Source organism: Homo sapiens, chromosome 15 (genome assembly GCF_000001405.40).
Source record: "Homo sapiens chromosome 15, GRCh38.p14 Primary Assembly".
In the NCBI taxonomy this organism is placed as follows: Eukaryota; Metazoa; Chordata; class Mammalia; order Primates; family Hominidae; genus Homo; species Homo sapiens.
Window position 1 is genome coordinate 65091018 of NC_000015.10, and position 24504 is coordinate 65115521.

General features: G+C 48.6%; 1 protein-coding gene across 3 annotated transcripts, besides 2 other annotated features; it reads right to left on the reverse strand.

The window, feature by feature from the left end:
- Positions 1-1742: 1742 nt before the first annotated feature.
- Positions 1743-24183, reverse strand: UBAP1L (ubiquitin associated protein 1 like). Of its 3 annotated transcripts, NM_001163692.2 has the most exons (6): positions 24133-24183; positions 15079-15371; positions 11089-11667; positions 8488-8697; positions 3458-3559; positions 1743-2214 (listed from the first exon to the last, which is right to left on the reverse strand). In NM_001163692.2, the coding sequence occupies exons 2-6, from the start codon at positions 15196-15198 to the stop codon at positions 2080-2082; spliced, it is 1146 nt and encodes a 381-aa protein (NP_001157164.1). In that variant the 5' UTR covers positions 15199-15371; positions 24133-24183; the 3' UTR covers positions 1743-2079. The 3 variants fall into 3 exon arrangements, with proteins under 3 accessions (NP_001157164.1, XP_011519849.1, XP_016877661.1); XM_011521547.4 differs by lacking the exon at positions 24133-24183 and having other exon boundaries at positions 3270-3559; XM_017022172.3 differs by lacking the exon at positions 24133-24183 and having other exon boundaries at positions 1743-8084.
- Positions 1907-2407: an enhancer, noted in NCBI's record as "H3K4me1 hESC enhancer chr15:65385262-65385762 (GRCh37/hg19 assembly coordinates)". NCBI's record gives its function as "activates a minimal SCP1, AML or CMV promoter by ChIP-STARR-seq in naive H9 embryonic stem cells {active_cell/tissue: H9 hESC(naive)}" and the evidence as "EXISTENCE:reporter gene assay evidence [ECO:0000049][PMID:30033119]".
- Positions 3024-3525: an enhancer, noted in NCBI's record as "H3K4me1 hESC enhancer chr15:65386379-65386880 (GRCh37/hg19 assembly coordinates)". NCBI's record gives its function as "activates a minimal SCP1, AML or CMV promoter by ChIP-STARR-seq in naive H9 embryonic stem cells {active_cell/tissue: H9 hESC(naive)}" and the evidence as "EXISTENCE:reporter gene assay evidence [ECO:0000049][PMID:30033119]".
- Positions 24184-24504: the final 321 nt, after the last annotated feature.

Below are 24504 nucleotides of genomic sequence, written 5' to 3' on the forward strand. Positions count from 1 at the left end.
ACACTGAGGCACAGAGAGGCTATGTGATGTTCAAAAGGTCACACGGCTGGTTAGTGCTAAGGCTGTAGTTTCAGCCCACATCTGACTTCAGAGTTCGTGCCCCTAACTACCACACTATTGTACCTCCTAAAAAATATTTTAAATGAACAATTTGCCCACTGATGTCTCTCTTTTTTTTCTGGAGACAGACTCTCACTATGGAGTGCAGTGGCACTGTGGTAGCTCACTATATCCTCAAACTCAAGCAACCTTCCTGTCTCTAATGTCTGATTTTTTTTTTTTGAGACGGAGTCTTGTTCTGTCGCCAGGCTGGTGTGCAATGGCTCAATCTTGGCTCACTGCAACCTCCGCCTCCCGGGTTCAAGCGATTCTCCTGCCTCAGCCTCCCGAGTAGCTGGGATTACAGGCATGCACCACCACACCTGGCCAATCTTTGTATTTTTAGTAGAGACGGGGTTTTGCCATGTTGGCCAGGCTGGTCTCAAACTCCTGGTCTCAAATGATCCGCCCGCCTCGGCCTCCCAAAGTGCTGGGATTACATGGGTGAGTCACCACACCTGGCCAGATGTCACATTTTTAATCAAGCAACAGTTTGCTAGGGATGGGCAGATTTGAGGCATGTGGGAGAAAGATAGGAATTATGGATGGGCCTGTCAACTGGTCGCCTCTAATCAAGGGGACTTAGTAAAGTGGTGGACCAAGGCCAGGTTACCTTAATCAGAACATAAATAGCTTTGGACCTAACATTGCATCTTAGAAATTGAACTTTAATTTTACTGTCTCTTTCAAGTGTAGTTTTACTTTTGGCAACAGACAGACATATGTCCAACTTTACAACATCTTGCCCATTTTCTCTAATAGTTTTGTGCTGCCTGCAAGTTATTCAAGGCAAGTTTTAAGGCCAAAGAATATTTTTATTGTGATTTCAAGTTGGCAGGCATTGAGACTTAGTAGAAAGCACCGAGGGGCTATTGGGCCTCCGGAGACCTGGTTCTAGTTCCAAGCTTGTTGTGTGTAGGCCTGCAGAAGTCCCCATTACACATTCAGATGAGGTATCTGGGGTTGAAGCCCTGAGAAACGTGGAAGTTGTTCGTTTTTTTTACTGGCCTCATTTCCAGGTCCAGCCCTGTTTGCAGGGTGGAGGGGGCTGAGATGTTTTGATTCTGCGGTAATTGTTGCAGGTCTGCGCAGGGCTGGCTGGGGAGAGCAGAGGCACTAGAGTCTTGGCCCCTGGCCTCTGCTTGCTTGAGTTATGGGCTGGTCCCCTCAATCCTTGGGGACTTCTGAACGATAGGCCTTGGGTGACTGGAGACAACTCTGGTCACAACCTCCCCACCCCGCAAATGAGGAAAGACTGTCATACGATCACAGATAGAGCAGAAGGGGCCCCAGACTGGCTGAAAGTCACACACACTGGCCATAGGCCTGTTATGTAGTAAAGAATCCCCAGAGATCTTCTTACATAAAACAAAACAGATTCCTGGGGGCTGCCAAGCTGGGCTTTCTGAATCAGAATATACGAGGGTGGGGTCTGGGACTCTTGAATAAACACCCTGAGGATTCTTATGGATAGCCGCCAGGGCTGGAAGCTTTTGACCTGGTCAAATCTCTCTACGTTTCCTAGGGAAACTGAGGCCCAACAAGGCCTTGACCCAGACATCAGCAGACCTAAAATCAGAAATGAGGTCTTCTGACCTACAGTTTGATGTTCTTTCCACACCAAGACCAGGTGCCTGCAGGACTCAGAAGAACTGCCCATTATTTATTTGTTTTAATTTTCTTAAAATCAAGGTTACTAATGCACACAGTGTAAAGAGTCAAATCAGGTGGTTTCACAGGCATGCATGAAGAACATAGCTCCCCGTCCGGCTCTCCCATCTGCCCCTCTGCAGAGGCAACTATTTCAACTCTTTCAGCAGATTCTGCTGCTGTTAACTGTCACCCTTGGTATTATTTGTGTTTTTACAATAAGTATGCATCACTTTGTTACTCTTACTTGGTTTTAATAATACAGTTAGGATGGGTTGCCAGGTCTGGCATTGGGCCTAGATGCCCAGGCATCGTGGAGTGCCTCCGTGGTCACTGGGCACAGGCCACCAGCTCCTCCAGGGCTTGCTCTCGGCGGTTGCCATGGACCAGCAGCACCTCCTTGATCCGGTCCTGCTGGAAGCCCATGTCACTGAACTGCTCCCAGAGGCGCAGGAACTCCCCTGCCTGAGGAAGAGGAGACAGGGAGGGTGCTGGGGGCTCTGCTGGGCCTGGCCTCAGCCATGGGGAGCCCCAGCTCCAGTGCCTACTGCACCTAGTCCCAAAAAGCTGTGGCTACCCCCAGGCCACGTGAGCCTGATCCTGGGCCACACCTGCCACTTTTCTGTACCTGTAGGGTGATGTAGGTTCCGACCTCCCTTCCTCTGCCAAGGAAAGAAGGCCCCAGCCTGGCCATGGGCTCTGTCCTGACTCTCCTCCCACTCCTCCCACTCACTGTCAACTTTCTGCTGGGGCAGGAGGGGGGCAGACCGTACACCTGCACCTGGAGCACAAACAGCCCAAGGTCCCTGCCCGTGCCCTGAACACTGTGGAGGTATCACAGCGCAGCCTGCACTTTCCTTCCCCTCCGACCCCAGGGCTTGAAACTTCCCCACCTCTGCTCACTCTCTCCTTCTCGAGGCCTCACCCAACCCTCCGTCCCCTTCAGCCTCTGTGAAGAGCTGCTCTGCCATGGGGCACTTAGAAGTGACTACTGGGGCCGGGTGCGGTGGCTCACGCCTGTAATCCCAGCACTTTGGGAGGCCGAGGCGGGCGGATCACTTGAGATCAGGCATTCGAGACCAGCCTGGTCAACATGGTGAAACTCCGTCTCTACTGAAAATACAAAAAAAATTAGCAGGGTGTGGTGGCAGGCGCCTGTAATCCCAGCTACTTGGGAGACCGAGGCGGGAGAATTGCTTGAACCTCGGGGGCAGAGGTTGCAGTGAGCCAAGATCGTGCCATTGCACTCCAGCCTGGGCAATAGAGTGAGACTCAGTCTCAGAAAACAAGATGTGACTATTGGGCCTACAGCTGCATGCACTTGGGGTAGGCGGCACGCTCCCCAAGTAGAAAGGTCATGCATCTTTGTGCTGCCCATGGCTCCTATCTGAGTGTCCGACAAAGAGTGGCCATTCAGTCACAGAGGCTGTGTTGATTAAGTCTAATAAAGCAAAACCCCTGCTGCTCTCTGCCTCCTGTCCCCGTCCCACCTCTTCCTGATCTCCCTCTGTGCCTCTCACCTTTGTCCCTGCTGTAGCTCCCTGGGCCATCTCCTCCTCAGAGCTGAGGAGTCAGGCAATCTCCCGACAGACCCACAGGCTGGACCCACAGACTGGCTCTGAGGACTGGTGTGGCCCTGCACACCGGGCTCCTGGGTACACCCCCATCCCTTCCATCCCCTGGGGCCCTGGCAGGAAGCCCTGCTGACCTGGCTCTCGGAGAACTGGAACATCTCCATGGCCTCATCCACCAGGCCTTCCTCATATCCCTGACGTAACAGGCGGTCACAGGCACTGAGGTAGCTGAGAAACTGGGCCGGAAGCGGGCAGAGAGGGAGGGAGGGTAAGAGGAGCAGCCGGGGCAGCAGACAGGGCAGAGAGGCACTCCAAGGGCCTGAGCTGAGGGCCAGGCAACAGGGCAAGCCACCACCTGCAGCGTGGCCCCAGAGAGCCCGTGAACCCACAGAAGGGGGATAGAGGCTTTCTCTGAGTGCCTGGCGATAGGCAGACAATGGGTCTTCACCAACTATGCCAAGCTGGGGGCTGGACTCCAGGAAAAGGGCTGTCAGGGTGGGCTAGGGTGTTCATAGAACCTAGGTGGGGAGCAGGACAGGCTTCAAACACAGACATCCCACCTACCACCCAACGCAATTCAACATTCATGCACCACCCACCCCTGTCTGGGAGCACCCATTCGTGTGAAGGTGCCTCCTCATCCGTCCACACCTGTGCACCCCTACTGTGCCCCCAGATGCATCTCTCTCATCCAGGACTCCTGAGCCACTACTATGCAACTCCTGCACCAGTGCTGGAGAAGGGGTGTGGGGTAGGCAAAGAGGAGGATTCCACAGGCAGGAAAAACTGTTCAGGTCACCCCACGGTTACGTCATCAGGGGCCCAGGATAAAATGCTGGCTCCTTACCAGGCAGGGCTCAAAGGCCTGCTCCCTGTCTATGGCCTTGGCCCCTCCCTCACCCTCCAGGTCTCTGCAGATGCAGCTCCCTCAGCCAAGGCTGGCCTCCTTCCCTGTCCCTGGGAAGCTTCCTGCCCCCTCTATCTTCCTGGGTGCCGTCCCTTGTGCCCCCATAGCACCCTATGCTTCCCTGTTACAGCACATATAACTTTGTAATTGCTTCACTCAATCTTTCTCATCCACGAAGTTTTTGCTCCATGAGGGAGGGGCTGTGTCAGTCTCATTCACCACAGTGTCCCCATCATCCAGCATGGTGGCAGAAGGAGCTCAATAAATGTGTGCTGTGTTTATAAAATGAATGAAGACCTGCCTTCAAGGAACTCACAGCTTAGTGGGGGAGATAAACCAGATACAGGACCACATCAGTGCCAGGCAAATCAAAGCAGGATTTATGGGGTGTAGGTGCCAAATGAAGGCTCCAGACTACAGGAATTATGAGTATATGTGGAGAAGGGAGAGTGGGGTTTCCGTAGACCTTCAGAGCTGGGATGAAAGTGCACATCATCTAGACTAACAGTTGTCAAATTGTTTTTGGCTCCTGAAGTGTTTGTCTTAGCACAAGGAGGCTTCAGCAATAACAGGCTAAGATTAGAGCTGCTCTGGGAGAACCAGGGCCAGGGGCATGGGGGCCCGGAGTCCAGTGCTCCTGGCCGAGGTACTGCCCAGTACAGCTAGACCTGCTCTGAGCACGTTTTGAAAACCAGGCACCCATGCCCTCCTTCCACAGTTGAGGAAACTGAGGTTCAGGCAAGGCAGGTGCCTTGTCCGGGGTCCCAGGACTAGGTCCCCGATTATGTAACCTGTCATTTAATGCCTTGTCCATCAGAGGGATCAGCTGCTAGAGGACGGGCTTTTAGCTGTCTTGGTGGATGACAGGGTTTCCAAAGGTGAAAGCTTCACCTTCAGAAGGAGGGCGGGCAAGGATGGATGGTGGACGCTGCCTCCACCTTTTGGCTCATCCATAGCAATGGTTCTCAGTCTCAGTGCTTATTGCAACCACCTGAGGAACTTTAAACATTACTGCTGTCTGGGCCTCACCTTCAGAGGTTACGATATAATTGGTCTGGGGTGTAGCCTGAGCATTGGAATTTTTCCCTATAGCCCTCCAGGTGATTCTAATGTGCACCCAAGACTAAGAATCAGTGAATGGGGACAGCTGACCTTGATCTATACTATGCCACAGTGAATATCAGACCCATCTGCAAATTTTCTAAAATTAAAGGCCCCTGGGTCCACCCCAGATCCACTGACTGGGGCCCTGCAGGATAAGCCCTGAGAGTCTGCATTTGCAAAGGTTCTGCTGCTTGGTTAGCTTTTGGGCCTGCAGGACTGTAGAAGCTATCAGGCTTGCCTCAGGCCCCCAGGTGGGTGAGGATGTCACCTTAAGGCCACCGGAGGGGGCCCCCGGAAGTCACTGGTTCCAAACACGTATTCCTCCTCCACCCTGTGAACTGGGAAACTGAGGCTAAAAGAGGGGGCCTGGCCTGTGGACCCTCACACATGGCACCCATGCCTGTCCTGCAGGGAGGCAGTGTGGGCACATCAAGCCTTGTGGAAGGAAAGGAGTGCTGCACAATTTCTTTTGTATCTTCTTCTCTCCCTGACTCTTCTAGCTGCTCTGTCTCTATCACCTGATGCCCTTCCTCCTGGGCCATCTGTCATTTATCTTGGCCAAAAAGGATTTACTGCAATATGCGGCTTTCAGTGGGAGAAGGAATCTGAACCCAAAGGGCTTGTTCAGTTACCAGGACTTCACAGAACAGACAGAAATACTAACTTGGTGGGGGAGGATAGATGAAGTCATCCAAAGGCCCCTCAGACCCACCCCGTGGGGCCTGGCTCCTGACTGCCCACCAGGGAAGGCCACCCAGAGATCCAGGGGGCCAGGCAGGTGGCCAGTCTATATCTGGAAACACAATGTTCCCAATGCAGTGAAATCCTTCCTGCTCACCCACTGGGAGGCCAGGGCCCCAGGCTGGCTCTGACTCATCTTCAGACCCCCAGAGTGATGGCCTGAGACCTCAGCCTTACCACAGGGCCTGAAGGGACTGGGGAGGCATGTCAGAGCCCCACTGTGCACCTGGCCCCTCACAGCCCTCCTGACCAGCTTTTTGGCCAGGACTCTGGCTTTTCAGTATCATCCGAAGGTAGGCGTGACTTTAGATCTGCTCTTAAATCTCAGATCAGCCTGTGGTGCTGTCCTGGGAGGTTCTCACACAGAAAATGAGATAAAAGACATCGTGCGACCAAGATGCAGAGTCAGACCAGCTGGCCTCAACCCCAGTGCTGCCATTGACTGGCTGTATGAACTTCCCTGGCCTCAGTTTCCTCATCTGCAAAGTGGTCATAATGTAATAGCAACCTTGCAGAATTGAGACCTAACTGAATACCCTCAGAGAGAGAGATTCATGCAAGAAAATGTTCAATAAATGTTAGCACCCCTCCCTGCCATTTTAGCCACATGGGGGTCACTATGTTGGAAATTCTCCTCCAGGACAGGGCATGAACTGATGAACCCAGAGTAGAGTAGAAGCAGGAGTGGGTGGGCAAGGGGACCAGGTGCATTTGCCCAGCCCCACCCCGGCTCCTGTTTGAAAGTCACTTCCCTTCTGCCATTCCCTCTGGCAGAAGCAGGCAGCTCTGGACCGCAGGGACCCAACATTCAGTACTCATCAGTGATGATGGAGGTGTCCAAGCCTTCTGATGGTGGTGGGGCAGGAACGGGAGAAAAATGAAAAGTGCCAACTACCCTGGGGCCAGCCATCAAACCATGAAGAGTCCCGATGTTTAGAAAACCACGCAACGAAGGATGTTACTTTCAGGTGGGGACATGGGGGTGTAGGCAATGGCATTCAATGTTACCTCCTGACCCTACTTACAATCCTTCCGTGCCTCCTTTTGCCTATTGGGTCATTTATCAAATTCTCAGGCCAGCCTTCAAGACCCCTAAATCTACCCCCAATTCTCTTTTTCTCATCTCCTACCAGCCTGCCTCATGCACCCTCTCCTCAACAAGACTGGTCAGATCAGGGCCTCCCAAACACTTCCTTCCCACCTCCACTCCTTTATTCACACTGTCCTTCCCTCCTGGAATATCACCCCTTCTCCTTCCTTCAGCATCAGATCTTATCCATCCTTGAAGTCCTGCTCAATGCTTGGTATCTCCATGAAGCCTTTCTTGATCACTGGAACCTTCTTGTGGTAGACTGAGAATGATCATAAAATTTTTTGCACCCTCTCCCACCAAGAGGTGGAATCTGTTTTTCCCCTGTGTAAGCCTGGAGGGGTCAACAACATGCTTTGACCAATAGAATGAGGTGGAAGTGACTATGTACAATTTCAGCCAAGGCCTCAAGAGGCCTCAAGAGGCCTTACTCTTGGAACCAAGTAGGGTGGCTTGCTGGAGATATGTGGCCCAGCTGACAAGTATCACCACCCACTGTACAGTGAATGAGGCCATCTTAGATCATTCAGCCCCAAGTAAGTCACCAAACTGTAGCCACATGAGACTGCAGGTGAGATGAGCAGAAGAACCCCCTAGCTGAGTCCACCTTAAAACTGCCAATCCAGAGAATCATAAGCAAATAAATGGTTGTCTCATGCCACTAAGTTTCGGGGTAGTTTGTTACACAGAAAGAGATGACAGAAACACCCCTATAACACTCATACCACTTCTTCTCCCAGGTATCTTGCCACTAGCACCTCTTTTTGGGCACTTTGGGGGCCCTCACTCCTCTGCAGGTGCTCTTACATTCTTGGCTTGTATCAGGGGTCAAGACCTGCTTCCAAATAGTAGCGTGGCTCAGAGTGCTGTCCTTGGAGTGTCATCATGAGTCTCCGCCATACTTCCAATAGAGTGAACTCTATTAGAAGAATAGAATGTGGGTGAGTAGAACCTGCGTGTGGTAGACTCTGTGATGTTCCATCCACACACCCTTTCACTGCAGGACTTACTGCCCCAGATGCTGGGAGAGCTGGGAGACACTCTTCAGTTGTCTGCCCCTTCAGGGATTACCTTAACTGCAGAGATCCACTTACCTCAGGTCACCCCCTTCCCACATGCAATGACTGATTGAGGCAGGGGTATAAAGGCCTGACCATCTCAGCCCCACTTAGGACAACCCTGAGGGGCCATAGATGCTCCAGAGCTGTGGGGTTGGCTGATGCTGTTGTTGGGCCTATGTCACAGCTCAAAAGGTGAAAATCATGTGGCCACTCACCTGGCTCCAGCATCACAGCTCATCAGCTCTGGGTCCCCCAACTCACCTGGCTCAGGCTCTGCCTCCCTGTCTTCTGCAGAGCTATGATGGCCCTTCGCAGGGGATATCCCAGGGCGACCACTGGCCCAATGAGGTCTTGCTCCTCCTGGCTCAGGGCGGACAGCAGGTCAGCCGCAGTATCAGGGTGTGACTTGTGGGGGTTGAGAGGTTGGGGTGCCCCCCCAAGAGGTGGCAGACAGGTGTACGGGCTGAGGGACTGAAATACAGACAGACTGGACATGTCAGTTACTACAGGAAGTGACACTCAGTTGGGCTGGACATTTTTAAAAATGCCTTTATGTACCACCTTCTGTACAGAGTGTAGGGGCTAATATTATGGAGGGCTTAGAGTCCTGCAGACCCCAGCTCTCTAATGCTTACTCAGTATACTCATATGAAAAATGAGGGCAATCCCTAAGCTACTTCACGGGACTATCAGGAGACTTAAATAAGACAATGTGAGGGACTGGGCGCGGTGGCTCATGGCTGTAATCCCAACACTTTGGGAGGCCAAGGCAGGTGGATCACCTGAGGTAAGGAGTTCGAGACCAGCCCAACCAACGTGGTGAAACCCTGCCTCTATTAAAAAATACAAAATTAGCCGGACGTGGTGGCACATGCCTGTAATCCCAGCTATTTGGGAGGCTGAGGCAGGAGAATCGCTTGAACCCGGGAGGCAGAGGTTGCAGTGAGCAGAGATCGCACCATTGCACTCCAGCCTGGGCAATAACAGCCAAACTCTGTCTCAAAAAAAAAAACAAAACAAAAAACAATGTCAGGAAAGTGACTAGTGAAAGAAATATGAGGTCCATTCTACTATCCCATTTTACAGACATTGAAATCAAGGTTCAGAAACGTTAATGACCTGATTAAGCAACACACGCTTGGTACCTCAACCCTACTTAGGTTTTATGCCCCACACCTTGGTGACAGATGAGCAGGGGTAGGTCTTCCCAACCAGGCCCTCCTTCTTGAATTTGGTTGGGCTGGGGTTTGGCAGGGCATGGAGCAGGGGAGGAACTGGGCACACCAGTTGAAACACACCCTGGATTAAGGAGGGTGACTTGAAGGCATTTCCATTGGTTTGGCCGGCATCGCCCCGAACCTTCTCCCATGAGGAAGTACCTCTCTGCCAGCCCTGAACGTTTCATCCTGTCCCCTCCTCCCAAGGAAAACACAGCTGCCGCCTGGCTCTTGGGGTGGAGTGTATATGTAACACACATGAATCCCCACCCATACGCATCTTCTCAGGGCTCTCCCTGCCACGACCTCACCCTAGGGTCTACCCTTTATTACCTCCAGGGTGGAGAACATCAAAGTTTAGGAGCTGAGTCTACTCTTGTGTCCTTGAAAAAGATTCTTTGCCACTCTGTGCCTCATTTCCATCATCTACAGAATACTGTCCCACCCCCACAGGGTTGTTATGAGAGTTAAATTCATCTTGGCCAGGGAAGAGCCATCCTGGCATCAACATCTGGTCTTGGATGTGGGCATGGCACATCACGCTTACAGAGCCTCTTCTCTACTATGTATGCTCTAAACAACCGTGTGAAGGGTTGTTGGCTCACAGTGCAGGTAGAGAAGGGGTGGTTCAGTGACTTGCCTAAGGTCACAAGCCGGTGCATGTAAGAAACCAGACCTCAGGTCTCTGTCTTGCAGATTGAATTCTACCTTGGCCTTATTCTGCAGCATCTCCTGGCCTGACTGTGGGGCTGCTGGGGGGCAGAAAGCTGTGCCCCGCTGCCACCTTCTGCTGCCAATCCTGACCCACCCCATGTTTTGTGGAGTCTGATACTTACATAATTTGGAAGGCACCTCACAGAAAAAGAACACACAATTATGAATACAAAATTGGGCACAAGGCCTTGGAAGAGACAAAGGGAGGAGCCTGAGGCTTAAGCTTCTGTGGTTTCACTGTAGGGTCACTTCTCCCTGCTCTTCAGGGTTCACTTCCTCCGTCCTGAAGCCTTCTCAGCCTATTGCAGCCCTGACGCTCCCTCAACACCTGATCCCGCTGTACAGTTCAGGGCCTGGTCCCACAACCCTCTTGGCCAACTCTTCATGTCCTGTGGTTTTGACACTCCCAAACCCAGTGTCTGGCAGGAAGTAACTGTGCATTGAATATTCCTTGATTGAGCCTCCAGCTCCCCTAGCTTATAGCAAACCTCAGCCAGTGGGAAGCCCTAGATTTGCGTTGCGTTCATCAATTCAACAGACATCCACTGAGCGCCCCCTATGGGTCAAGTCGGCAGCTGGGTGCTCTGGAAACAAAAATCAGTGCGATCCAGTCCCTGCCCTAAAAGAGCTCAACCTCGTTTAGAAGAGACAGGTCCTGGATAATTAAAACCACTGTGACCTGCTCCCTAAAAAAAAGCAAGGCAGGCACAGTGGGAAACGCGGGGAATGGGGGCTTCTGAGCAGGGACTACTCTACTCTAGTCAAAGGGCCGCAGGAGGACAACACGGTACAGGCCCAGGTGGGAGCAGGTCAAGGGAGGATGCAGGAGCGCGTGGAGTAGGGGACCGAGGCTGCGGGCTGGGCTGGACACCCAGATTATGGGGCCTGGGCTGCTGATTGGCGGCCTTGGAGGGGCGGGCAGAATCCTTACCGCGACCGTAGGCTTGTGGCTCCGCAGCGGGGGGATGGCGCCTGCCGTGGAGGGCCGCGGGGGCGACGCGGGGGCGGCGGGGTGCTGGGGCGCGGGCCCCGGGGGTGATGCAGACCTGGGGGACTGCGCAGGGCTCGGGCACAGGCTCAGCGCGCGGTGGCCGCGGAGGCCATGCAGGAGGGCGCGGGGCCGGGAGACCAGCTTCCCCTCGGAGAGCCGCCGCCGCGCCCCTGCCAGCTCCAACCGCACGCCGCGTAGCACGTCCAGCGAGCACAGGCGACGGCCGGGGCCGGGGCTCGCCGGGGAGCCCGGTTGGAGGCTGCTGGGGGCCGGCTCTTCCTCGCTGCCAGAGGAGGCTTCTGCCTCGTCCTCACCCTCCTCCTCCGGCCTCTCCTGGTGTCCGGCCTCCGGGTCTCTGATTGTGGTGGGCGCAGGCGCCAGCCCATGTTCGGGGCTGACTAGCAAGAGCCAGGCTGGAGGGGCTGACGCTGTCCCCGGGTCACCGCACTGGTACGGGCTGGGTCCCTGGCCGGCGGCCTCCACCCAGAAGAGTGCCGTCCTCTCCAGGCTGAAGTCGTGCTGCGGAAAGAAGGCGACGTAAAGCCCAGGGCAAACCAGGACCCCGGGGGCACAACACTAACCCCTGGCCTGGGGGACCCTGTTCAGCCAGAGACTCTCTAAGCCTGGACAGCGTCAGATTCTGAGCCCCGGGCTTCCATCACAGCCCACTCTACCCTGGGTTTTAGCTAACACTGTGGTCGATGGATACCAATAACAGTTTAATGGCAAACTGGCATAAATGACAAAGTGATGAATTCGTCAGTCGAATGAAATGTAATGAAACCCAACATCTAAATCCCTTTGCCATTCAGTATGTAGTTGAGCAAAAACTACTTAAAAATTTTCTCCAATAAAGCTTATTCTTAGCAAAGAAGCTTTCACCTGAGCCCAGCAGTTTGCCAATGAGTAGTCTGCCTTGGAGGCCCGCCCAGGCAGACAAACCTCCCTATGGAGTGATTCCTGTCCCCAGCCCCTTTGCTGCCACCAAGGTTACTTTGGGGTCCTGGAAATGTCATAACCACTAATCTTTGTGGAACTCTACTTAGTATGGTCTAGTGTCATTCCTATTTCCATATTATGAAAATGGAGCTCAGAACATTGAGTTTGCTAGAAGTTAGATTGGCAGTGAGTGGCTGAGCTGGTTTTCCTGTCGGTGGACCTGATTGTAGTGCTTTCTCCACTTCGTATCAGACCACCTAAAAAAGCAATCTGGAGTCCACATAAATAATCTAACTCTAGAGTTTATAAAATGAGGCAAAAATGACATATTCCTGTTCCCTACCTTTAAAATTAAGAACAGCAAACATAAGACTCCATCAAAAATATGTAAAAGTTTTAAAGGCAATTTGTTCTACCATGGCCAGTTAAGGAAGAAAGAGGCTAGGGGTTGGGGAGTGAGGCAGAAAGACAGGCACAGACACTCAGACACTTAGATCACAGGCACAGCTCCCTCTCACCCATGACCCTACCTTGGGGAGAGGAGCATAAGTTAGCTGCTCCAGTGTGACTCCCTGAGTTCCTCTCTGTATCTTCAGGGCCCAGGGCAGGCCTGGCCCAGAGTGGACATTTGTAAGTATGTGCAGAATAAATGGTTAGAGAAAGAGATTGGAGCAAAATAGATGGGTTGTGAAGGACAGAGAAGGCAAAAAGACTTCAGAACTAATGAGGCATACTTGGAGAGAAAGAAGCTAAGAAATAGCCAGCAGCACTCAGAGGGATTAAAAAAATACCAAGACCCAATAAAATGCCAACACTTGATTTTGGAACTATGCAAGATGATTCTAAACTTCATATAAAAACAAATAAGGGCTGGGCTCGGTGGCTCATGCCTGCGATCCCAGCACTTTGGGAGGCTGAGGCAGGTGGATCACCTGAGGTCAGTTCAAGACCAGCCTGGCCAACATGGCGAAACCCCACCTCTACTAAAACTATAAAAATTAACTGGGCATGGTGGCACATGACTGTAATCCCAGCTACTTGGGAGGCTGAGGCAGGAGAATCGCTTGAACCTGGGAGGTGGAGGTTGCAATGTGCCAAGATTGCACCACTGCACACTCCAGCCTGGGCGACAAAGCGAGACTCTGTCGAAAGGAAGGGAAGGGGAAGGGAAAAAAGAAAAGAAAAGAGAGAGAGAGCGAGACAGAGAGAGAGAGAGAAAGAGAAGAGAAGAGAAGAAAAGAAAAGAAAAGAAAAAGAAAAAGAAAAGCCAGAAACTCTGGAGACAAAAACATAAATAAGGAGAACTGGCCCTACCATCTATTAAAATATAGAAGTTCAATAATTAAAACTATGGTACTGGCACAGACAGATTAAAGGTACATAATAGAAAATCCAGAAATAGGCCTTAATATATTATAGGGATTTAGTAACTAATACGGGTGGCATCTCAAGCAATAGGAGAACGATAAAGTTCTGGTCAATAAATAGTGTTAGGCTGGGCACAGTGGCTCATCTGTAATGCCAGCACTGGGAGGCCGAGGCCGGAGGATTGCTTGAGCCCAGGAATTCAAGTCCACCTGGGCAACATAGTGAGACTGTCTCTACAAAAAATTTTGAAAATGGCCAGGTGCGGTGGCTCACGCCTGTAATCCCAGCATTTTGGGAGGCTGAGGCGGGTGGATCACGAGGTCATGAGATCAAGACCATCCTGGCCAACATAGTGAAACCCCATCTCTACTAAAAATACAAAAAATTAGCTGGCTTTGGTGGTGCATGCCTGTAATCCCAGCTACTCGGGAGACCATGGCACGAGAATCACTTGAACCGAGGAGTCGGAGGTTGCAGTGAGCCGAGATTGCGCCACTGCACTCCAGCCTGGTGACAGAGCGAGACTCTGTCTCAAATGAAAAAAAAAAAAAAAAAAGAAAATTAGTCATGGTGGCACTTTTCTGCAGTCTGAGCTACTTGGGATGCTGAGGTGGGAGGGCTCCTTGAGCCCAGGAGGTTGAGGCTGCAGTGAGCCATGTTCATGCCGCTGCACTCCAGCCTGGGCGACAGAGTGAGGCCCTGTCTCAAAAAACAAAAGCAGGTCGAGCACAGTGGCTCATGCTTGTAATTGCAGCACTTAGGGTGGCCAAGGTGGGAGGATCACTAGAGCCCAGGAGTTCAAGACCAGCCCGGGCAACATGGTGTGAAATCTCATCTCTACAAAGAAATATAAAAAATTAGCCAAGCATAGTGGCATGTGCCTATAGTCCTAGCTACTTGGGAGGCTGAGGTGGGAGGATCGCTTGAGCCCTAGAAGAGGAGGTTGCAATGAGCTGACATTGTACCACTGCACTCCATCTAGTCTGGGTGACAGAGCGAGACTCTGTCTGAAAAAAACAAAAACAGCTCTTTCCCTAAGTGGCCTGAGGTAATCTGTGAAAATGGTTCACCATTCATTTGACCTGGAGAACCCCATAAAATCATGCAAATCAAGAGGTTCAAATTTTCGTGTTCACTTTAAGAACACTCGTGAAACTGTCCAGGCCATCAAGGGTATGCATATATGAAAAGCCATTAAGTATCTGAAAGATGTCACTTTACAGAAATAGTGTGTACCATTCTGACGTTACAATGGTGGAGTTGGTAGGTGTGCCCAGGTCAAGTAGTGGGGCTGGATAGAAGGTCGGTGGCCCAAAAAGAGTGCTGAATTTGTTTTTGAGACGAAGTCTCACTCTGTCGCCAGGCTGAAATGCAGTGGCACAATCTTGGTTCACTGCAACCTCCACCTCCTGGATTCAAACAATTCTCATGCCTCCACCTTCCGAGTAGCTGGGATTACAGGCACGCGTCACCACACCCAGCTAATTTTTTGTATTGTTAGTAGATACGGGGTTTCACCATGTTGGCCAGGGCTAGCTGTCCTTTAAATTCAAGGAACAAGGCCCCATGGACTCAGCCCCAGACCCACAGACCCAGAAGACAGAAACACAGAGACACACTTACCATAGAACCCAGCAGAACTTCCCCGCAGGCCGGGACGCTGAGTTCTGGCCCAGGGAGAGGCTCTGTGCCTATCACAAAGCCCTTGGGCAACTTGAAAGGAACACCATCGAGGGCATTCATTCTGTCAGGAGTGTGGAGATGGCTGGCAGGGCTGGGGCAGGCTGCTTGATGGCAGGGAGAGAGAGTCGAGTCCTGAGGACCAGGCTCAGGCCTCAAATGGCCTCACTGCTCTCCTGTGTGGTCACTTAGCTGAGCCCCAAACAGCTGGAAAGGAAAAGGTGAGGGGGCCAGTGCTGCATAAAGGAAGGAAATGAATAAAAACAAGAGCATTCACACGGACAGAAATTCACTATTTCATATTTCAGTCATGCTCTAGACCACTGTTTTCCAAAACATGGTCCACAAAACTAGTTCTCATGCATTTCATCAAAATAATTGTCACCCAAATGTTTAAGAAACAAACAGCATTAATTTACATAAACTCTTCCAGGGAAGAAGAAAATAAGAAATACTTTCTAACTCATTTTGATTTTAGCATAACCTTTTTTTTTTTTTTTTTTTCTGGGACGAAGTCTCGCTCTGTCACCCAGGCTGGAGTGCAGTAGCCTGATCTTGCCTCACTGCAACCTCCAGCTCCTGGGTTCAAGTGATTCTCCTACCTCAGCCTCCCAAGTAGCTGGAATTACAGGCTTGTGCCACCACACCCAGCTAATTTTTGTATTTTTAGTAGAGACGGGGTTTCACCACGTTGGCCAGGCTGGTCTCAAACTCCCGGCCTTAGGTGATCCGGCCACCTCAGCCTCCCAAAATGCTGGGATTACAGGCGTGAGCCACTGCACCCAGCTGATTTTTAGCATAACCTTGATACCAAACTTGATAAGAAAATTAGAAACCAATCTCTCATGAACACAGATGCAAAAAAAATCTTAAAAATAATTATGGGTAGAATAATATAACACTGTCAAGTTAAGTTTATTTCAGGAAAGACAGATTGACTTAACATCCCCAAATCAATAAATGGGAATAAAGATAAATATCAATAAAGATGAAAAATTATATAATTATATAGCTTCATAGATGCAGAAAAAAACATGACAAAATCAATACCCATACCCTTTCAGCAACTTAGGAAGAGAAGGGAATTTTCTTAACTAATAAAGAGTATCTCTAACACATCACACAGTGGCCGAGATCATGCTGCTGCACTCCAGCCTGACAACGGAGCAAGATGCTGTCTCAAAAAAAAAAAGAAGAAAGAAAAAGGAAAAAAAAAAGGAATTACATCTCTCTATATAAATAGTAAATCATGTAAATGGACTCTTCTAAAAATTTTATTAGAAATGGAACATTTTAGGCCAGGTGCAGTGGCTCACACCTGTAATCCCAAATCCCAGCACTTGGGGAAGTCGAGGTGGGAGGATTATCTTGAGGTCAGGAGTTGGAGACCAGTCTGGCCAACATGGTGAAACCCCGTCTCTACTAAAAATACAAAAATTAGCTGGGCATGGTGGTGGGTGCCTGAAATCCCAGCTACTTGGGAGACTGAGGCAGGAGAATCGCTTGAATCTGGGAGGCAGAGGTTGCAGTGAGCCAAGATCACACAATTGCACTCCAGCCTGGGCAACAAGAAGGAAACGCTGTCTCAAAAAAAAAAAAAAAAAAAAAGGAAAATTTAAAAAGTTACCATTTATATTAGTATAGTTCTCTAGGACTAAATCTAACACAAGATGTATGAGACCGCTACACGGAAAACTATAAAACATTTGGTTAAATGGAGGAACATACCACGTTCAAGGATTGTAAAACTGAATCTTGTAAAGATAGCAGTTCTCCTCCAATTAATTTATTCATCCCATGTATCAAAATTCCATCACTTTTTTTTTTGGTAGAAATTGGCAAGCTAATTCTAAAATTAAATGAAATGCAAAGGACCAGGAAAAGCCAAGAGACTCTTGGAGAAGCAACACAGTGGAAGACTTTCACTATCAGATAGCAAGACCTTCAAGTTATGAGAATGAAGAGAGTGACTTAAAGACTTACAAAGAGACCAACAGGACAAAAAAGAAAGTCCAGAAACATATCCACACATGAATCTTTGACTTATGACAAAATTGGCTCTGTAGAGTAGCTGGAAAGGGAAAGTCTTTTAAATAAATTGTTCTGGATTAATTTGATATCCATCTGGGGAAAAAAAAAAACAAAAACAATATTGACCTCTACCTCATGTCATACCTAAAAATCAATTCCAGGTGGACTGTAGATTTAAATGTAAAAGGTAAAATAATAAAACTCAAAGATAAAAATGAAAGACTATATTCATGGCCTTGTAATAGTCAAAACATTTCTTAAGTTACAAAAGGGCTAACGGGCCAGGCACGTTGGCTCATGCCTATAATCCCAGCACTTTGAGAGGCCCAGGCAGGAGGATCAGTTGAGGCCAGGAGATTGAGATGAGCATGGGCAACAAAGCAAGACCCCTATCTCTACAAAAAATACAAAACTAGCCAGGTATGGTGGCATACACCTACAGCCCCAGCTACTCGGGAGGCTGAAGTAGGAGGATTGCTTAAGCCTGGGAGGATGAGGCTGCAGTAAGATGAGTGAGCTGTGAGCCCAGGTTGCACTCCAGCCTGGGCAACAAAATGAGACACTGTCTCAAATAAATAAATAAATAAATAAATAAATTAAATTTAAAAAAACACAACAACAACAACTCCAAAAGAGACTAACCATGAAGGAAAATTCTGATAAACTGGATTACATTAAAGTTAAGAACTTCCGCCAGGTGCAGTGGCTCACACCTGTAATCCCAGCACTTTGGGAGGCTAAGGCAGGCAGATCGCTTGAGGTTGGGAGATCGAGACCATCCTGGCCAACATGGTGAAACCCTGTTTCTACTAAACATACAAAAATTAGCCAGGCGTGGTGGCACACATCTGTAATCTCAGCTACTAGGGAGGCTGAGGCAGGAGAATCGCTTGAACCTGGGAGACGGAGGTTGCAGTGAGCCAAGATCACACCACTCTACTCCAGCCTAGGTGACAGAGCGAGACTCTGTCTCAAAAAAAAAAAAAAAAGAAAGAAAAAAAAGTTAAGAACTTCCATTTGGCCGGGCGTGGTGGCTCACACCTGTAATCCCAGCACTTTGGAGGCCGAGGTGGGCGGATCACAAGGTCAGGAGATCGAGACCATTCTGGCTAACATGGTGAAACCCCGTCTCTACTAAAAATACAAAAAATTAGCTGGGCATAGTGGTGGGCGCCTGTAGTCCCAGCTACTCAGGAGGCTGAGGCAGGAGAATGGCATGAACCCAGGAGGCGGAGCTTGCAGTGAGCCGAGATCACGCCACTGCACTCCAGCCTGGGTGACAGAGCGAGAATCTGTCTCAAAAAAAAAAAAAAAAAAAAAAACTTCCATTCATCAGAATATACCATTAAGAGAGTTAAAACAAAAACAAAAACAAATCACAGAGTGGGAGAAGATATTTGCAACAAATCTATATGACAAAGGACTCATATCCAGTATATACAAAGAACTTCTATAAACAATAAGAAATGGGCAAGAGACTTTTAATATGCACTTTACAAAAGAGGATATCCAAATAGCCAATATGATAAGTTGTTTAACTTCATTAGTCATCAGGGGAATGCAAAATAAAACAATGAGATACCACTACACAAACATACAACCATTAATTTAAGGTTAAAATTAAAAAGCTTCACAATATCAAGCGATGATGAGGATGTGGAACATCTATAACTCTCATTCACTGTTGGTCAGAAAGTCACTTAGTCAACAGTATCTACTAAACCTGAAAGCCAAGAATTAAGAACTCATTCACACATCACTTCTTGGCTTTTTGGGTTAGATCAAGACTAGTATCTGTCCTTCGTTTAGCAATACAACAGCCAGGAATTTAATTTTTGATATATTTTAAACTACATTAAATATTGAGTCTGTTGCCTTTAAAAAAGAACAAAATCGGCCGGGCGCGGTGGCTCACGCCTGTAATCCCAGCACTTTGGGAGGCTGAGGCGGGCAGATCACAAGGTCAAGAGATTGAGACCATCCTGGCCAACATGGTGAAACCCCGTCCCTACTAAAAACACAAAAATTAGCTGGGCGTGGTGGTGCGTGCCTGTAGTCCCAGCTACTCAGGAAGCTGAGGCAGGAGAATCGCTTGAACCAGGGAGGCGGAGATTGCAGTGAGCTGAAATCGCGCGACTGCACTCCAGCCTGGTGACAGAGTGAGACTCTGTCTCCAAAAAACAAAACAAAACAAAACAAACAAAAAAAACTTGGCCGGGCGTGGTGGCTAATACCTCTAATCCCAGCACTCTGGGAGGCCGAGGTGGGTGGATCACCTGAGGTCAGGAGTTCAAGACCAGCCTGGCCAACATGGTGAAACCCCGTCTCAACTAAAAATACAAAAAAAAAAACATAGCTGGGCATGGTGGCACGCGCCTGTAGTCCCAGGTACGTGGGAGGCTGAGGCAGGAGAATTGCTTGAACCCAGGAGGCGGAGGTTGAGGTGAGCCGAGATGGCACCACTGCACTCCAGCCTGGGCGACAGAGTGAGACTCTGTCTCAAAAAAAAAAAAAAAAAAGAAAAGAAAAGAAAAAGAACAAACTCATTCACACAGAATTTAAGCTCACGACTGCCTATAATAATACACTTGAATCTAGACTTCTTGACCGCAGTCTGCCTTTTTGCAAACAATCAGGGATTATCAGGGAGTCTGCAGCAGGAAGTGCCTCTGGCTCAACACAATCTGTCATCCCTGCCAGGATGACGCAAAGCTCTGCCCTGCTAGGGGTCACTACAGTCATCCCCTTCCCATGAGAGCATCATGTGGAGAGGTAGGGTGGATAATCTGAGTGCAGAGAGGTCAAATGAAGGCAGGTAGGCAAATCCCTTAATTCCCTCATCTCCTGCCCCATTTGTCAACTCTTGTTAGTGTCTTGCTGTATATAAGACTCAAAAGGTTTCTCCACTCCATGCCTAGAGCTGGTCTCCCTGCACAGCAGGAGGTAGCTCTCTGTGCTACCTTCCATACAGAATCAGGAAGGTCCCACTGTAACCAGTAAATTATCTGCCCCATCAGCCAGTTCTTACAGGGGACCTTTGAGGTACAAGGGTGTTATAGGAGACACAGGAAAGTTCAGCAAGTTTTGGCATTCTCAGATTTATTATTCACATTTTCAGGTATCATCTGAATTTTGAGCTATCTCCAAGGAAGGGACACAGTTCTATTGAGACTATCTGTCCACTTAGCAGGTATAGGGCACCCTTCTCTCCATCTTCCGCCCAGCATCTGCATCCTAATAGGTATTTTCTACTCAGCCCTACACTTGCTTCTAGGATACTGAGGATTTGGGGAACATATCTATTTTTTTCTTTTTTGAGACGGACTCTCGCTCTGTCTCCCAGGCTGGAGTGCAGTAGTGCAATCTTCTAGGCTCACGGCAACGTCTGCCTCCCAGGTTCAAGCGATTCTCCTGTCTCAGCCTCCTGAGTAGCTGGGATTACAGGCACCCACCACCACGCCTGGCTAATTTTTGTATCTGTAGTAGAGGTGGGGTTTCGCCATACTGGTCAGGCTGGTCTCGAACTCCTGATCTCAGGTGATCCACCCGACTTGACTTCCCAAAGTGCTGAGATTGCAGGTGTGAGCCACCATGCCCAGCCTATATCTCTTTTTTTTTTCTTTTTTAGGCAGAGTCTTGCTCTGTCACCCAGGTTGGAGTGCAGTGGCGTGATCTGGGCTCACTGCAAGCTCCGTCCCCCGGGTTCAAGCGGTTCTCCTGCCTCAGCCTCCTGAGTAGCTGGGACTACAGGCGCCTGCCACCACGCCTGGCCCTATATCTCTTAAGAATGGCAAGGGCTACAGTAAAGATATCGATATTGCCTAGTTAGAAAGTATTCTAAAATGAGGGTCACCTCACTAGGTACAACATGAGAGGTACAGATCATTATGTAATAATATTCTCCAAAGGAAGGGGAGTGGTCTAGTCCTTATGGGCATTGGAGAAGCTTCAGGAAGTAGATGGGACTTGGCCTTGACCCTGGAAGGTGAAAGAACAGCCTGTGAGCAAGAGAGCAGAGGAATCTGCAGGGTGGAGAGAAGTGACAAGTTGCTGGACTTAAGCAGATGGTCTGTGCTGGGAAGCAGTACGAAGTAAAATTGAAAGGGTAGACTGGGGTAGAGCTGGGGAGAACTATGAACTTCAGGCTGAGTGCTGACTCCATTCAGCAGGTAGTGGGCAAAGTGTGGAAGAGGCCTGAGGTGGTGGAATGGAGTAGGGATGTGGGAATGTTAGGAAAGCCAGGCTGTGCATGCTTGGACAAACTGTAAGCCAGGACCTCTCAAACACTAGCCCATGAGGTGGTGCCCATGTGCTTGGATCTGGGCATGGGGATGGGGAGTGGGATGGGTGAAGGTGGCACTGATTGATTTAAGTGGGGCCCAGGCAATGACATTAGTATTGTTTCCAAAGGTCTTCACTATACTCTCTAAATGACTTTATTCTTGCCCAGAGCTTCAATTACCTGCCAATGATTCACAAATTAAATTCTCCAGTTCTCTTCTGAGATCAAACTCATAAACACAACTGCCTACACAGTGTCTCAAGACTTCTCAAACTCAACGTATCAAAGTGAACTGATTTTTCCCTTCCCCAAACTGCTCCTCGCCCCCAGGGTTCCTTGTCTCAAGGAATGGTAACATTGAGCCAGGTGCACGAGTACTCATCTCTGATACTTTCCTCTCCTTTACCACCACCATCTCAAATTTCCTGTGAATTTTTATCTCCTAAATCTCTGGAATCCAGCCATTTCAGGCTAACTCCACTGCTTCCATGGGAATCCAAGCCCCCATTATCTCTCACCTGGACCACTCATCTCCATGTATCCTCACATGCTTTATTATTATAATTCTGTTCCACACACTGAGGCAAGAATGACCATTTCAAAACCAAAACTAAGCCACTCCTGGCTGGGCACGGTGGCTCATGCCTGTAATCCCAACACTTTGGGAGGCAGAGGTGGGAGGATTGCTGGAGCCCGTGAGTTAAAGACCAGCCTGGGTAACATAGCAAGACCCCTTCTTTAGAAAACAAAACGAAACAAAACTAAGGCACTCTCCTACTTAAAACTCTTCAATGGTTCCTGGCTGTTTTCAAAATAAAAATTAAACTTCTGAAGGCTTGCAGTGTCTGGCCCGTTTCCTCTCCTCCCATCTTACTCCAGTCATGCTAGCCTTCAACTGCCATGGTCTCTCAGTCCCCACAGAACCTTTGCATATCCTGTTCTGGATACTTGCTAAGTTCTTCCCTGTTGCTTCCCCACAATTAATTAAAAGCTGCTCAAATGCCAGGCACAATGGCTCACATCTGTAATCCCAGCACTTTGGGAGGCCAAGGTGGGCAAATCACTTGAGGTCAGGAGTTCGAGACCTGCCTGGCCAACATGGCAAAACCCCCTCTTTACTAAAAATACAAAAATTAGCCTGGTGTAGTGGCACACGCCTGTACTCACAGCTACTCAGGAGACTGAGACGAGAGAACTGCTTGAACCTGGGAGGCGAAGGTTGCAGTGAACCAAGATCACGCCACTGCACTCCAGCCTGGGCGACAAAGCGAGAGTCTGTCTCAAGAATAAAAAGAAAAGAAAAGAAAAGAAAAAGCTGTTCATTCTTCAGAGCTCAGCTGAAACATCACTTCCTCAAAAAAGCTTGCCCTGACTCTCAAACTTGGTCAGGTCTACCTAGCACAGTGGCCTTTACAAAGTTTTTTATTTTTTACTTTTTTGAGATGAAGTCTTGCTCTGTTGCCCAGGCTAGAGTGCAGTGGCTCGATCTCAGCTCACTGCAATCTCTGCCTCCCAGGTTCAATAGATTCTCCTGCCTCAGCCTCCCGAGTAGCTGGGATTACAAGCACCTGCCACCACGCCCGCTAATTTTTGTATTTTTAATAGAGATAGGGTTTCACCATCTTGGCCAGGCTGGTCTTGAACTCGTGACCTTGTGATCCACCTGCCTTGGGCTCGCAAAGTGCTGGGATTACAGGCATGAGCCACCGCGCCCAGCCTTTTTTTTTTTTTTTTAACTATGACCCATAGTATACTTTTATTTCCTAGCATACACATATGTAAACTGAATAATGATTCTTACCCTTACTATATGATACATATTTCCTATTATTTCAACTAAATGTGTCACAGAACGCTTTTGAAGAAAAATCCTAATTCATAATCTCAGAACCATGTCTTTCTTTCAAAGCACTCAGCATATTTTTTATGATTATTGGGTTAATATCTACCTTCCTCATTGCCTGTATTCTGTATGAGGTTAGGGAGTATTTGGCATTTTGCTTAGCTTTAATAGGCACTTAAACATTTGGAATGAAATATATAAATTGGCTGATAAGTACTTTTCCTTGTAGCACTTATCACAATTGTCTCTAATGACTCTGTTATAATCATTAAGCTTCTTCACTCTAAACTCCAGGAGGTCAGGAATCCTGTCTGTTCACCCCTTCTTACATCCCTAGCACCTAACCACAGTACCTGGAAAATGGTAAATAAAAAATCATTTCCCATAGAACATAATTCAAATTCTGGTATCCAGACTGTGGCCAGCATGAATTAACAAAGCTGAGGAAAGTGTCCACTGTTCTACACAGTTATGCACTCTAACACCACTTGCCTCAGAGACCTTAATCTTTGCTTTGGAGGCTATGAAAAACCAAATTTATTCCAAAAGGCAAATGAACTCTGCAATGGAAACATACTCTTCATGTGTGGCCAGATACAGGAAGCCAGGAACTACTATGTGGATTCACAAAAAGGTAAAGAGCTCATCATATGGAAATAGCTTATAGGTTCTAAGCATTACAAAAAATCTGGGACAAACAGGTGGCAAAAAACAAATTTAGTTGATAATGTCTCATTTAATCACTATTCCATAAATCACTACTATTTCAGAATGTTCACATTCCTTTCATATATTGCATATTATACTTATTTAAATGGAATAAGATATACTTTGTACTTACCTTGTAATTACCAGGAGAACTTCCCTGCAGACAAAGCGTGTATAAATGAATAGCTACAACAGATGGCATAAGCCTAAGCTTCTTGTTACAAATGTCACATGGGCATAGGAGCATGAATGGTTTTATAGAGTGATTAAGTTGGTTGGCTTGTAGCAGCAAATTCTTTGACATCATAAACTCAGCCACTTGGGCTAAATACCCTTAGTATTTAAGAACTAATCTCTTTCTCTCATAGCTTTCTAATCTCTGTATTTACCGAATTTATTAAAAACAAATGCTTTTGTACAGTTTTTCTTTTTAAAAGTATTCCAGTTAATAATTGAAGAATGACAGAATTAAACTATCACTATTTTTGAGTCCCCTCCCCATCAA

Bases quoted from the DNA above. Each gene is read 5' to 3' on its own strand.
- UBAP1L (XM_011521547.4), bottom strand. From the start codon at position 15,198: ATGAATGCCCTCGATGGTGTTCCTTTCAAGTTGCCCAAGGGCTTTGTG. The intron at 8,698-11,088 runs GTAAGGATTCTG...TCTGTATTTCAG, and splicing joins GCCACAAGCCTACGGTCGCG to TCCCTCAGCCCGTACACCTG. The intron at 2,215-3,269 runs GTGAGAGGCACA...CCTCTTCCTCAG, and splicing joins GAGCTACAGCAGGGACAAAG to GCAGGGGAGTTCCTGCGCCT.